Genomic DNA, 14088 nt, shown 5'->3' with positions numbered 1-14088 from the left:
TTTTATTATTATACTTTAAGTTCTATGGTACATGTGCACCATGTGCAGGTTTGTTACATATGTATACAGTATACATGTGCCATGTTGATGTGGTGCACCCGTTCACCCGTCATGTACATTAGGTATATCTCCTAATGCTAGCCCTCCTCCATCCCCCCACCCCACGACAGGCCCTGGTGTGTGATGTTCCCCACCCTGTGTCCAAGTGTTCTCATTGTTCAATTCCCATCTATGAGTGAGAACATGCGATGTTTGGTTTTCTGTCCTTCTGTCTTTTTAAAAATGAAGTAAATATGTGTTCATTACTAGTTTTCTGTTTGCCTTAATATAGCTTTTTTTAAAATCTTAGATAAAACTATCTTTACACTCAGGATGGAATCTAGGAAACTCTGACAAAACCACTTGCTGAATATTAAATAACAATATTGATTGATTATTCATTTTAATTTATTTTATTTATGTAATTTTGTCTTTCTAACAGGGAAAAATTGAGGAAGCAGTGAATGCATTTAAAGAACTAGTACGCAAATACCCTCAGAGTCCACGAGCAAGATATGGGAAGGCGCAGGTATTCTGAGACCCTTCTCCTTAGGACACTTTTTTGATGTTCATGTGTTTTGTGTGATTGAATTTTTTACTCCTCACTATTTTCCCTTTCTAATTTCTCTACAGAATCAGTTTCTCATGTATATGCATAAGCAAGAAATACAATTATCACTATTGCATGCTGCTGAATTTAGTAACATTTTTTTCTGCTCCCCCTCCATATGACTTCTCTCTGGCTTTGAAAAGAAAATAAACAGTAACACTTTTGTCATTGATTTACCATCCCCTCATGTCCCATTCCATCTAATCCCACCATACAGTGTTCACTTGAGGCTCCTCAGAGCTTTCAGACTCTCAGTTTTATAACTGGAGGTTGCAAGTATGCTTAGGAAAGACCTTTCTAAAATATAAAGTGGAACATACTTTGATGTCTCTATAGTTTTTTCCAACGGACTCATTTCTTAGCAGCTACCTTTATCCTCATCTCCCACCGTCTCCTTTCTTATCTGGCTTTTTCTAGTTTCCAACTCCTTTCATGAAGCATGTCCCCTTTCACCTGTAACTGCATAAACCCACTGTATGTCAGTGTTTTAGGCCCTGGGAATGTCTGTTTTGCATTCTTTTATGAGATGGTTAGTCAGGTGCAGCTACAAGAGGTCTCACAGGACAGGATTAGGAAAAAGCAAGTTTATTATGCTCACAGAGACAGGAGGCCCAGCATGCCAAACAGGGCTACATGGGAAAGACTCAAGGTGATCAGGGGATGGTAGGCAAGAACGAGGGGAAGGTTTGGCCATAGCCTTTATTGAGGTTTCCATGGAAGAGGCAAAGTAGGGCAGGGTGAACAGTTTAGGACTGGCTGGTTTGAATAATTTCAGCCTACAGCGGTGGTACCTTTTGCCTACAGAGGTGGTACCTTTTGCCTATAGGGGTGGTACCTGGCCCTGAGATGATTAAAGTCGAGGAGGCGTGGCTCTGGATTGGTTAATTTGCATATCAAAAGCTTTCTCCTGGCTGAGCACTGGCCAGCTCAGAATTGTCTAGCTCAGGGCAGTCTCTCCCTAGCCAGAGAGGTTTTTTTAAGATGTCAAAACATCATAATATACAGAAAATTTAAAAATAATTACAATACAATACAGTGAACATTCTTGTGGATTCCAGTGGAAGATTTTTTTAATTATTAACAAATATTTGGTGAAAGCCCACTGTGTGCTAGGCCCTGTTCTAAGCATTAGAGATACAGCCATCAGTAGAACATATTTTAAAAGCCCTAGCACTTACAGAGTTTCCATTGTAAAGGGGAAGACAATGCATAAGACAAGTAAGTCCAATGTATATGCTTTCTAGGGCTAAGTGCTAAGCAGAGGAAAAAGAAAACAGAGAACAGCCAACAGACATGTGAGGGGGTCGACGTGGTATGAAAGGTGGCAGGGAAAGGTCTCATCAAGGAGGTGACATTTGAGCAAAGCCCTGAAAGTCTTTATAAATAAATATGTACTTAAAGAACATTATAAAGTATTAAGAATAAATATGTTAGATCATCTTACCTAATAAGACATGCTGTAAAGAAAATAAGAAAATGTAATGGAATGAAGAGCATACCTATTAAGATTTTTTTGGCTGCAGGTAACATGACTGAAAGAATGGGGCAGACAGCGCTTTGGACAAGTTGGGCAGGAAAGGTCTCTCTGGGGAGACAACATGTGGCTGAGATGTGAGGAGGTTATATTACTAGCAGGAGCTATCCAGGCAAGAGAAAGCAGCAAGTCAAAGGCTTTGAGGCAGGAAAACAATCTTGGGATAAGCCTGAGGAAAGAAAGAAGGGCATGCTGGGGCAGGGAAGCAAGGATCAAGGAGGCTGTGACCTTGCAGATTTTATTCTACACGTGCTGAGAAGCCATGGGAGGGTTTGTTTGTTTTTTTGGGTTTTGTTTATTTGTTTGTTTGTTTTTATACTTTAAGTTCTGGGATACATGTGCAGAACATGGAGGTTTGTTACATAGGTATACACGTGCCATGGTGGTTTGCTGCACCCATCAACCCATCACCTATGTTAGGTATTTCTCCTAATGCTATCCCTCCCCTAGCCCCCCACCCGACAGGCCGCGGTGTGTGATGTTGCCCTCCCTGTGTCCATGTGTTCTCATTGTTCAACTCCCACTTATGAGTGAGAACATGTGGTATTTGGTTTTCTGTTCCTGTGTTAGTTTGCTGAGAATGATGGTTTCCAGCTTCATCCACGTCCCTGTAAAAGACGTGAACTCATCCGTTTTTATGGCTGCATAGTATTCCATGGTGTATATGTGCCACATTTTCTTTATCCAGTCTATCATTGATGGGCATTTGGGTTGGTTCCAAGTCTTTGCTATTGTGAATGGTGCCACAATAAACAGATGTGTGCATGTGTCTTTATAGTAGAATGATTTATAATCCTTTGGGTATATACCCAGTAATGGGATTGCTGGGTCAAATGGTATTTCTTGTTCTAGATCCTTGAGGAATTACCACACTGTCTTCCACAATGGTCGAACTAATTTATGCTCCCACCAACAATGTAAAAGCATTCCTATTTTTCCACATCTTCTCTATAATCTGTTGTTTCCTGACTTTTTAATGATCGCCATTCTAACTGGCGTGAGATGGTATCTCATTCTGGTTTTGATTTGCATTTCTCTAATGACCAGTGATGATGAGCTTTATTTCACGTTTGTTGGCCACATAAATGTCTTCTTTTGAGAAGTGTCTGTTCATATCCTTTGTCCACTTTTTGATGGGGTTGTTTGTTTTTTTCTTGTAAATTTGTTTAAGTTCATTGTAGATTCTGGATATTAGCTCTTTGTCAGACAGGTAGATTGCAAAAATTTTCTCCCATTCTGTAGGTTGCCTGTTCACTTTGATGATAGTTTCTTTTGCTGTGCAGAAGCTCTTTAGTTTAATTCGATCCTATTTGTCAATTTTGGCTTTTGTTACCATTGCTTTTGGTGTCTTAGTCATGAAGTCTTTGCCCATGCCTGTATCCTGAATGGTATTGCCTAGATTTTCTTCTCGGGTTTTTATGGTTTTAGGCCTTACATTGAAGTCTTTAATTTTTGTATAAGGTATAAGGAAAGGGTCCAGTTTCAGTTTTCTGCATATGGCTAGCCAGTTTTCCCAATACCATTTATTAAATAGGGAATCCTTTCCCCATTGCTTGTTTTTGTCAGGTTTGTTAAAGATCAGATGGTTGTAGATGTGTGATGTTATTTCTGAGGCCTCTGTTCTGTTCCATTGGTCTATATATCTGTTTTGGTACCAGTACAATGCTGTTTTGGTTACTATAGCCTTGTAGTGTAGTTTGAAGTCAGGTAGTGTGATGCCTCCAAGCTTTGTTCTTTTTGCTTAGGATTGTCTTGGCTATATGGCTCTTTTTTGGTTCCATATGAAATTTAAAGTAGGTTTTTTCTAATGCTGTGAAGAAAGTCAATTGTAGCTTGATGGGGATAGCATTTAATCTATAAATTACTTTGGGCACTATGGCCATTTTCACGATATTGATTCTTCCTATCCATGAGCATGGAATGTTTTTCCATTTGTTTGTGTCCTCTCTGATTTCCTTGAGCAGTGGTTTGTAGTTCTCCTTGAAGAGGTCCTTCACATCCTTTGTAAGTTGTATTCCTAGGTGTTGAATTCTCTTTGAAGCAATCGTGAACGGGAGTTCACTCATGATTTGGCTCTCTGCTTGTCTATTATTGGTATATAGGAATGCTTGTGATTTTTGCACATTGATTTTGTATCCTGAGACTTTGCTGAAGTTGCTTATCAGCTTAAGGAGTTTTAGGGGTGAGACGATGGGGTTTTCTAAATATACAATCATGTCATCTGCAAACAGAGACAATTTGACTTCCTCTCTTTCTATTTGAATACGCTTTATTTCTTTCTCTTGCCTGATTACCCTGGCCAGAACTTCCAATACTACGTCGAATAGGAGTGGTGAGAGAGGGCCTCCTTGTGCCAACAGTCTGGTTGTTTTTTGTAAAGTTTGCTTTGGTTACTGAGTGGAAAATGGATTATGGAGGCAAAAGTAGATGCAAAAAGAATAGAAGGCTATTGCAAGTGTACACAAGAGATGCTGGTGGCTTGGACTGCGTTCACGGCCATGGAGATGAGGGAAGTGGGCAGTTGGTGGAGCTGAAAGGACTTGAGGATGGATTAGATGTAAAAACATCAGAGGAAGAGGACTCAAGGCTGACCCCTGAGTTTTTGGTTCGGCCAGCTGAGTGGAGGATAATGCCAGTTACTGACCAGGAAGAGCAAGTCTGGAGTGATGCAGAAGTCAAGAGTTCAAGAGTTTGCTGTTGGTCTTATTAAGTGTGTGATGCCTATGAGACATTCAGGTGGACATGTCAAGTAGACCATTGGATTCACAGAGCCTGGAACTTGGAGGAAAAGCCAGGGCAGGATATCAAAATATGCCAGGAAGTAAAGCTCCAACAGCTCTGCCTAGAGGTCAAGATTGTCAACCCTGCTGGGAAATGGTAGATTCAGAGTGCAGAAATTTTCCAGACAGAGGAGATGCTGACAGCACCCCTATGGAGAAGGTCCATGCAGACATTTGTACAGGACACACACAGGAACTAACTCAGCTGTAGATAAAACAAGTGAATTTTGTTCTGAACTGAAGATGGTGACCACTTGAGATCCAGATGCTCAGTATCTTCTTATATCTCCATTAAAAAGTAATTAATATATTTTTTATTAATTCGATTTTAATTAGATTTGTGAAAAATTGATTCAAATAAATTCCTCTTGTCCATGGTACAGACCAGCTTTAGCAGACAGCAACTGTATGATTTTTATAAATTAGTTTGGTCAGTAATTCTCTGAAATTGCTAAATCATTTTGCTATTAAGTAAGAGAGAGTGTGTTTGTTACCAAAAAGATCATGCCTATTCAAATAAGTAGTGTTTTTTATCACTAGTATTAAGTCATTTCATTAAGAGAAGCATATTAACTAGAGAGAGAAATGGTTTATGCAAATGCTAATTTAATTATGGCAAAAATGTTTTATACCTTAGAAGTTTTCCTTATATGTAATATTAATTGTGAGTACCAAAGTCTAAGTAAATGAAATGCTCTTGAAACAGTGTGATTGTTATATTTACAGTCAGCCCTCTGAATCCTCATGTTCCATATCCATGGATTCAACCAACCACAGATTGAAAATATTCAGAAAAAAAATAAAAAATAACACTTCAACAATTAAAATAATACGAATAAAAATGATACAATATAACAACTATTTACATAGAAGTTACATTGTATTGGGTATAATAAGTAATCTAGTGATGATTTAAATTATACAGGAGGATATGGATAGGCAATATGCAAATACTATACCATTTTATATCAGGAACCTGAGCATCTGCAGACTGAGGTATTGCAGTGCGGCAGTGATGGTGGTGGTCTTGGAACTAATCTCCAGTATATAACTAAGGATGACTGTATATCCTTATGTCACAGTAGAAAATTGAGATTTAGGCTTCAAGCAATATCTTTTATCTCTATGCTATTATGCTTCAATGTGTTATTGCTATTAATATTAATGTGGCATACAGCAAAATTTAGCCATGGTAAATTAAATTTTAATAGAGTAATTTAAAGGAAACTTCAAGTTCATAGTAGTTTTAAAAATAAAAATTCAACAGAAGATGGGTTTTATAGGAAGAAATTATGACTTTCATTCTTTGTTAGCAGATTAAACAATTACTTTGGAATATTCCAACAAATTTTTAAAATTTTGCAACATTAAGTCATATATAAACTATAGTATCTCTCATTTCTAAAGTAGCACTGATATTGTCTTTTTCTTCATATCACCAAAATTAATTTTGATCAAGTTCCCTGAACATTGGACACAAAATATTAAAATATAAACTCAATTCACTTTATTATCTTTCACAAACCATTAATGCCTTTGAGGCAGAAAATGACACATCTCATAGGAAGATTGGTTGGGTGAATTAGTTAGAGTCAACAAAAGGCTTTGCGATGTTAACATCCTGTAACAAATATTCAGTTTCAGTTTAGCTTGTTTTATCTACAGATGCTACACTGATAAAAATCAATCTGCAGACTTTTCAGTGCAAGTGCCTATCAGTTTTATTCAAGAGCTTATAAAGAATTATGTGCCATTTTAGTAGTGATATTTTTCCAATTCTGCAAGTTGTAAATGTTAATACTTCATTAAAACAAAGGGCCCTGGGGCACCAGAGAGGGGACAAGGCATACAGATTATACTATCTCTCTCCCTTTTCAGATTGAGTTTAAAGATGTTTATTCCAATCTCAATAAAGAAGGATTATCTTGGTAGGCATTTGTCCTCCCACTAATGCTACAGAGACCTCCAGTTCCAGGATCTTTTTGGGCACTCTGTAGGTTCAAAATGAAGAGAGTGAACCACAGATGGTTTACAATTTACAATGTCTTTTCTTAACAATTTTTCAACTTTATAATGGTGTGAAAGTGATACATATTCAGTAGAAACTGTACTTCAGTATCATATCCAATAAATTACATGAGATATTCAACATTTTATTATAAAATAGGCTATATGCTAGGTAATTTTGCACAAATGTAGGCTGATTAAGTTTTCTGAGCACATTTAATATAGGCTCTGCTAAGCTATGATGTTCAGTAGGTTATCTGTATTAAATACATTTTGACTTACGACGTTTTCAGCTTACCATGAGGTGTAAACCCGTCGAAAGTCAGTGAACATCTGTAGATGGTTTTGAAAGGACTCTCAGGTCTAGAACTCTGTGTTTTGCAAAGTTATCTATCAACATTCATATTCTGGGGAGTTAACTCACTATAACAAAACTCACAAGGAGCTGATACCTATACAGAAGAGCCAGTATATGAATATATGATAGAAGGCCATGCCAGCATCATGATCAGTGTGGGTCATTGACACTGGACTTTCTCTCCTGGTAGATAAGACTATTCTGGAGAACATTTACAGACTTCCAAAGATAGTGAATGGTCTGGAGCATATCTCCATTTAGCAAGGGTGAATTTCCTTTTCTAATCTAGAGATTTTTATCCTACCAAGTTTTCTTTCTCATAAATCTGTCCACTTCCATCACTTTAATTCTAGTTCTCATCATCTTGGGTAATTTATCCTAATCAGTTCATATTATCAAGTTATTTCATTGATGTCTTATTTTGTGAAAAAAAATCCCATAGTTGTCTTATTTTGTCAATTTGTGCTGATTCTTAGGTTTGTTTGTTTGTTTGTTCTTTACTTTGGGATATGGGAGGGATGGGTCATTTTCTTACTGTGCCCTCAAATTATGGAGCGATACTTTATTTTGATTCTGCATACATCTATATATTAACTACAGCACACATTTTAACAACATAAACATGTTTAAATATTCTGAGAAAAAAAAATATATGCTACTTTTAGCATCTAGCCAGAATCATTTTTCCTCGAATAATAGGCTTCAGATTGTAGCCTCCTAAATCTGATGAGATATTGATGACATTTTACACATTCTCCTCTCTCTTCCTGACTCCAGTATTTTACTCTCCATTCTCAGTTTCCAGCTAAGAATGTTGATTCTTTTTTCGTTAAGAAAATAGAAATATCCAGACAATTTCCACCTGATGCTGCTACTTTGCTAACAGCCATCCTCTACCTGTGCCTGTATGTTCTGCCTTCCCTCCTGTTAGCACAGATGGACTATTCTGGTCCCTGTTCCTCTCTCACCTGCTGAAGGACATCCCTCTAATTTTTGTGTCTCCTTCTGTATCATCAGATTTTCCCTCTCTACTGAGTCTCTTGCATCTCCTTGGAAGCATGCTGTACTATGTCCCATCCTTAAAGAACTCCCCTTGTCTGCACATTACCCTCTGCCAGCTGGCTCATTTTTCTGCTCCCCTTTACAGTGAAACTCTTCAAAAGAGTTATCTCCACCTCCTTCCATCTCATGTTCTCTTGAACCTGCAGTACTGTGGTGCTCCCTCCTTTTTGCTGCTCCTCCCTTGTTATCCTGATCTCTAATGACCTTTAAACATTGGAGTTCTTTAGGATTCAGTTCTTGGACCGCTTCTTTTCTCTGTCTACACTCTCGACTGCTTCTAGCTTCCTAGCTTTACATACCATCTTCATCCTTGATGATTCCCACACTTAACTTCTCTTACTCTGACCTCCCTCCTGAACTTCAGACTCATATATGCCCCTTCCTGGTCAGTAACTCCATTTGGATATCTTATAGACATTTTAGGTTTAATATGTCCAAAACAAATCTCCTGATTCTATACTGCCCCCAAACTTGCTTTTGCCCTTTCTTCCCATTCTCAAGGAATGACGGTTCATCCAGTAATCACTGAAGCCCAAACCTTGTTCATTCATGGTTTTTCTCTCTCCCCCTTTCTCACACCCTACATTTAGACAATCAGCAAATCTGTTGGCTCTGACCTTCAAAATGTATCTATAATCTGACCACTTGTTACCACTTCCATTACTGCTACCTTAGTCCAAGCCATAACCATCCCACACCTGGATTCCTGCTGGAGTGTTCTGCCTCTCCCAGCTTCTCAGTCTGTTCTCCATACGGCTGCCACCATGATCCCTTCAATACATACATCAGATCATTTCAAAAGCCCCCATTGTCTTCCCGTCTCACTTTGTGTACTAGAATTGTCAATATCTTGCCAGGCCCTACTTTACCTCATGGCCTCCATTGGTCTTCCCTTTCCTCCCCTCCACTGCACTGGCCTGTCCTCGATTCCTCACTCCTACCTCCAAGCCTTTGCTCTTGCTCTTTTCCCTGCCTAGAATGCTACTCCCCAAGGTATCTTCATAATTTGCTCCCTCTCTTCTTTCAGGCCCTCCCCAATTATCCTGATTAAATTAGCAACTCCTTACCATTCCTACCCAGCACTCCTAAGCCTGCTTTGTTTTTATCCACAGCACTTATGGCTGTTAGACACATAGTACCTTTATTTGTTTATTATATTTGCCACCTTTCCAAAATGGATGCAAAGTAGAAGCAAAAAGGGCTTTGTCAGTTTTGTTCAATATGCCTGCCACATTTGTAGAAGAGTGCCTCTTTCCCAGAAAACAGTTGTTAAATGAACGAATGCATACACGAATAAATTAATGAAAGAACGGGAACTTGGGCTGGAGACCTGCCTATATAATGTTAGTGTGTAATAGGACGTACATCTCCATCAGCCCCAGCGTGTATTAGTCCTGCATTTATGACATTCTTTCTTGTCTTTAGTAACAAACTTTACCTTGTATTATTAAAATAGTGTGTTGATTTTCTATCTTTTGTTAGTTTTTTTTATCTCTTGATAAGGAGAAAAGGCTAACGTGTCTTACATTTCTTTTAAAGCATGTCCAAAAGTTAACTTTTTATGAATATTTTGGGTAATTACAAACACAGCTAGTCATGGGACATTTATCCAGTCTGGGGACTTCTTCTAGTGTGAGGATGATTTGGCTGAGAAGAGGAGAAGTAATGAGGTGCTACGTGGAGCCATCGAGACCTACCAAGAGGTGGCCAGCCTACCTGATGTCCCTGCAGACCTGCTGAAGCTGAGTTTGAAGCGTCGCTCAGACAGGCAACAATTTCTAGGTAAGATGCAATCAAAGGTAATTCAGTAGGAAATGGCATATGTTTTATCTTGAAGAAGCTGAAGAGTGTATTCTTCTCTTAGAAGAATTACGTGGGAGAAAACCTGAGTTTTACAACTGATTTCAAGTAATGTGTCTGTCCTAGGCTCACCATCTCTAAAACTGAAATTGTAATCCTAATCTTAATAGAGGCATGCCTCACAGATACTGTGGGTTTGGTTCCAGACCATCAGAATAAAGAGAGTTACACAAATTTTTTGATTTCCCAGGGTATCTAAAAGTTGTATTTATACTATGTCATAGTGTCTTAAGTGTGAAATAACATTATGGTTTAAAAGACAATGTCCAAGCCTTAATTTAAAAATATGTTATTGCTAAAAAATGCTAACGATAATCTGAGCCTTCAGTGAGTTGTAATCCTTTTGCTGATGGAGGGTCTTGCCTCAATGTTAATAGCCAGTGACTGATCAGGGTGGTGGTTGCTGAAGGTTGGGGTGACTGAGGCAATTTCTTAAAATAAGGCAACAATGAAGTTTGCTGCATTGATTGACTCTTCCTTTCAGGAAAGATTTATCTGTAGTTTGAAGTGCTGTTTGACAGTATTTTGCCTACAGAACTTTTTTCAAAATTGGAGTCAATCCTCTCAAACCCTGCCACTGCCTTATCAACAAAGTTTATGGAATATTCTAAATCCTTTGTTGCCATTTCAACGATGTTCACTGCATCTTCACCAGGAGTACATTCAGTCTCAAGAAACCACTTTCTTTGCTCATCTGTAAGAAGCAACTACTCATCTATTAAAGTTTGATCATGAGATTGCAGCAAATCAGTCACATCTTTAGGATCCACTTCTAATTCTAGTTATCTTGCTATTTCCACATCTGTAGTTACTTCCTCCACTGAAGTCTTGAACCCCTCAAAGTCATTAATGAGGGTTGGAAGCAACTTCCTCCCCAAACTCCTGTTAGTTTTTATATTGTGACATTTAAATAAAATGTATTTATTAAATAATAGAACTTAAAAGTCTAAATTACTCCTTGATCCATGAACTGCAGAATGGATGTTGTGTTAGCAGGCATGAGAACACCATTCACCTCCTTATACATCTCCATCAGAGTTCTTGGTGACTAGGTGCTTATCAGTGAGCAGTAATATTTTGAAGGGAATCTTTTTTAAGGACTCAACAGTGGGCTTAAAATATTCAACAAACCATGCTAGATGTCCTATCATCCAGACTTTGTTTTCCCATTTATAGAGCACAAGTAGAGTAGATTTAGCATAATTTTTAAGGGCCCCAGGTTTTTCAAAATCGTAAGTGAGCACTGGCTTCAACTTAAAGTCTCCAGCTGCATTAGCTCCTAACAACACAGTAGGTGTATCCTCAAAACTTTGAAAGCAGGCATTGACTTCTCCTCTCTCACTATGAAAGTCCTGATGGCATCTTCTTCCAATAGACAGTGATTTTGTCTACATAGAAAATTTGCTGTTTAGTGTAGATCACTTCATCAGTGATCTTAGCTGTTTAGTGTAGATCACTTCATCAATGATCTTAGCTAGATCTTCTGGAAACTTGCTACAGCTTCTACATTAGCACTTGCTACTTCATCTTACACTTTTATCTTATGGAGATGTTTTCTTCCCTTAAATTTCATGAACAAATCTCTGCTAGCTCTCTTCTCCCTCTTTCTTCCCATTTTATGATAGCTTGTATAATTTGCCTAAGGAATCATAGCTAATAGATTAATAGGTCTGGAATAAAAAACTCTTCCTGTGATACCAAATTCTTTTCTTCCTTAACTATAGCAAAATGATTCATGGAGGTTGAAATTATCTGTGGAAATTTTGTATAAATGAATAATAGCTGTTTCTGGTACTCTAAAAAAAATTTACTGGTAAGATTTGACCCTATATCAAGGAAAATGCTAGAAAAAAAAACATGAAGTAAATTTGCAAATACTTTGAAAAGAACATCATATCATATATCATCAGATTTAGGAGGCTACAATCTAAAGACTATCATTTGAGGAAAAATGATACCAGCTAGATGCTAAAAGTAGCATACATAATATAGAACATCATATACCATCCTCTGGACTGACCCAGGTTCCCAGTACCAAAGGCAAGTAAGACTAGCTGTTAGCTAACTTCACGATAACCAGGCTTACAATTCTCTTCCCATAACAGATCATCAGTCAACATGGAGGGAAGGAGCTAAGCTATGAGTCACTGCCAAGGCAGGTGCTCGGCTGGCAAGATAGTTACATGGACAGATTATTAATGTCACTTAGGGGAGGCTCCTATAGATTAGAGTCAAGGCCCAATGGACCCTCCTATCAGTTTTCCGAGGATTAGAATGAAGAGGAGTTGTATCACTTTTGTAGATAAATAAAATAGGACTAAAGTCCATGTGATGATTAAAAATGATAAGAAATGGTCAGTTAGACTAATATTCATAGGGACCAGTGCAGCAGAACAAAAACATGCAGCACAAATTCAGCACAGAAAAGGCAGGGCCGGGACTCCAGAGAGGCAATGCGGGCACTCGCCATGGACGCAGAATCAGCATTACTGCCCGGACGCAGTGGCTCACGCCTGTAATCCCAGCACTTTGGGAAGCCAAGATGGGCAGATCACCTGAGGTCAGGAGTTCCAGACCTGCCTGGCCAACATGGTGAAACCTGGTCTCTACTGAAAATACAAAAATTAGCCGGGCATAGTGGCGGGCACCTGTAATCCCAGCTACTCAAGAGGCTGAGGCAGGAGAATCACTTGAACCCGGAAGGCAGAGATTGCAGTGAGCCGAGATCATGCCACTGCACTCCAGCCTGGGCGACAGAGCAAGACTCCATCTCAAAAAAAAAAAAAAAAAAAGAATCAGCATTACTGAGTTTTCCTCTTGCCTCAGTCTCCACTATGGCTCTGCTTAGCACTGTTTAGTGATTCTGTCACTAAAGTGTTAACATTTTCTTCATCATGAATGTTTTACATTAATATTGATTTTTTAAAAGGATGCATTAAACTAGCCTTCACATCAAAATTATGAACTTTTTTGGCATCCTCTGAAATCTAACTCTGAGTGCCTCTCTGGCCTCACCCTGTCCTCGGCCCTGGGAAGGTGACTGCCTCTTCCACAGCAATCCATCAGCATTTGAATGTAGTCCTCTCAGAATGTCCTTGAGAATAAAGCAAGTTCACTCGAGGAGGCTCTGAGGCAAATGGAGACAGAAGATTTTAGTGAAAATGACATGGTGGTGAAGTTGGTCACAACACAACAGGGTTCCCAGATGCAGAGTGGAAGGGATGGGGAGCAGATGGCTGCAAGGAGGAGTTTGTGTCCATGCTTTTGTTGTGGATAATAGGAGATTTCTAGAAGAAAGTGTGAGCCTAGGTGGGCAGATAGGGGGAAGGAAAGGTATAGAAAAGGAAGCCCAGATTTGTTAGTGAGGAAATGACTAGGGTTCTGGTTGGAATATGATTGGCTGGTAATGGGGCATAGGCCGTCGGATGAGTTGGTGATGCTTTATGGCAGATGGTTTGGCAGTGGAATATACAGCTGCTTTAGCGTACTGACACTCCCATCACTCTCCTAGATTGTGGGCAACTAAGCCCTTTAGATAATTCATGGCTTTTTTCGTTGATGCTAGTCCTCTTTTTGCACATGTTCTTTTATACAGATAATTGAAGCTGGGTTTTTTCATGATTCATGCGTGCAAAGTATGCCTTTGTCCACGAGAGGGCCCCATAATACTGGATGATGTATCATTTGCTCCATGACTAGGTCATTACCTAGAGATGAGTACACTTGTCATTCATAGGGGATGTGTCAGCAGTTAGGTACTGTCCTATGTACTTTGGTGCCTTTTCGAATTGCATACAGGGTGCTAGACCCTGAAGTTAGTTAAGACTTTTTATTGCTT

At 38.8% G+C, this 14088-nt stretch overlaps 1 protein-coding gene across 72 annotated transcripts in view; it reads left to right on the top strand.

The window, feature by feature from the left end:
• The window catches only part of ASPH (aspartate beta-hydroxylase), a 214037-nt gene that overhangs the window by 137253 nt on the left and 62696 nt on the right, over positions 1-14088 (top strand). For 71 of the 72 annotated variants that reach the window (NM_001413901.1, NM_001413909.1, NM_001413895.1 and 68 more), the window contains 2 exons: positions 482-568; positions 10022-10172. In NM_001413901.1, the coding sequence (NP_001400830.1) occupies positions 482-568; positions 10022-10172 (238 nt within the window). The remainder of the gene's footprint in view (positions 1-481; positions 569-10021; positions 10173-14088) is intronic. The other variant, NM_001413899.1, reaches the window with a different exon arrangement.

Source organism: Homo sapiens, chromosome 8, assembly GCF_000001405.40.
Source record: "Homo sapiens chromosome 8, GRCh38.p14 Primary Assembly".
NCBI lineage: Eukaryota > Metazoa > Chordata > Mammalia > Primates > Hominidae > Homo > Homo sapiens.
This window is presented reverse-complemented; position numbering and strand designations above follow the sequence as displayed.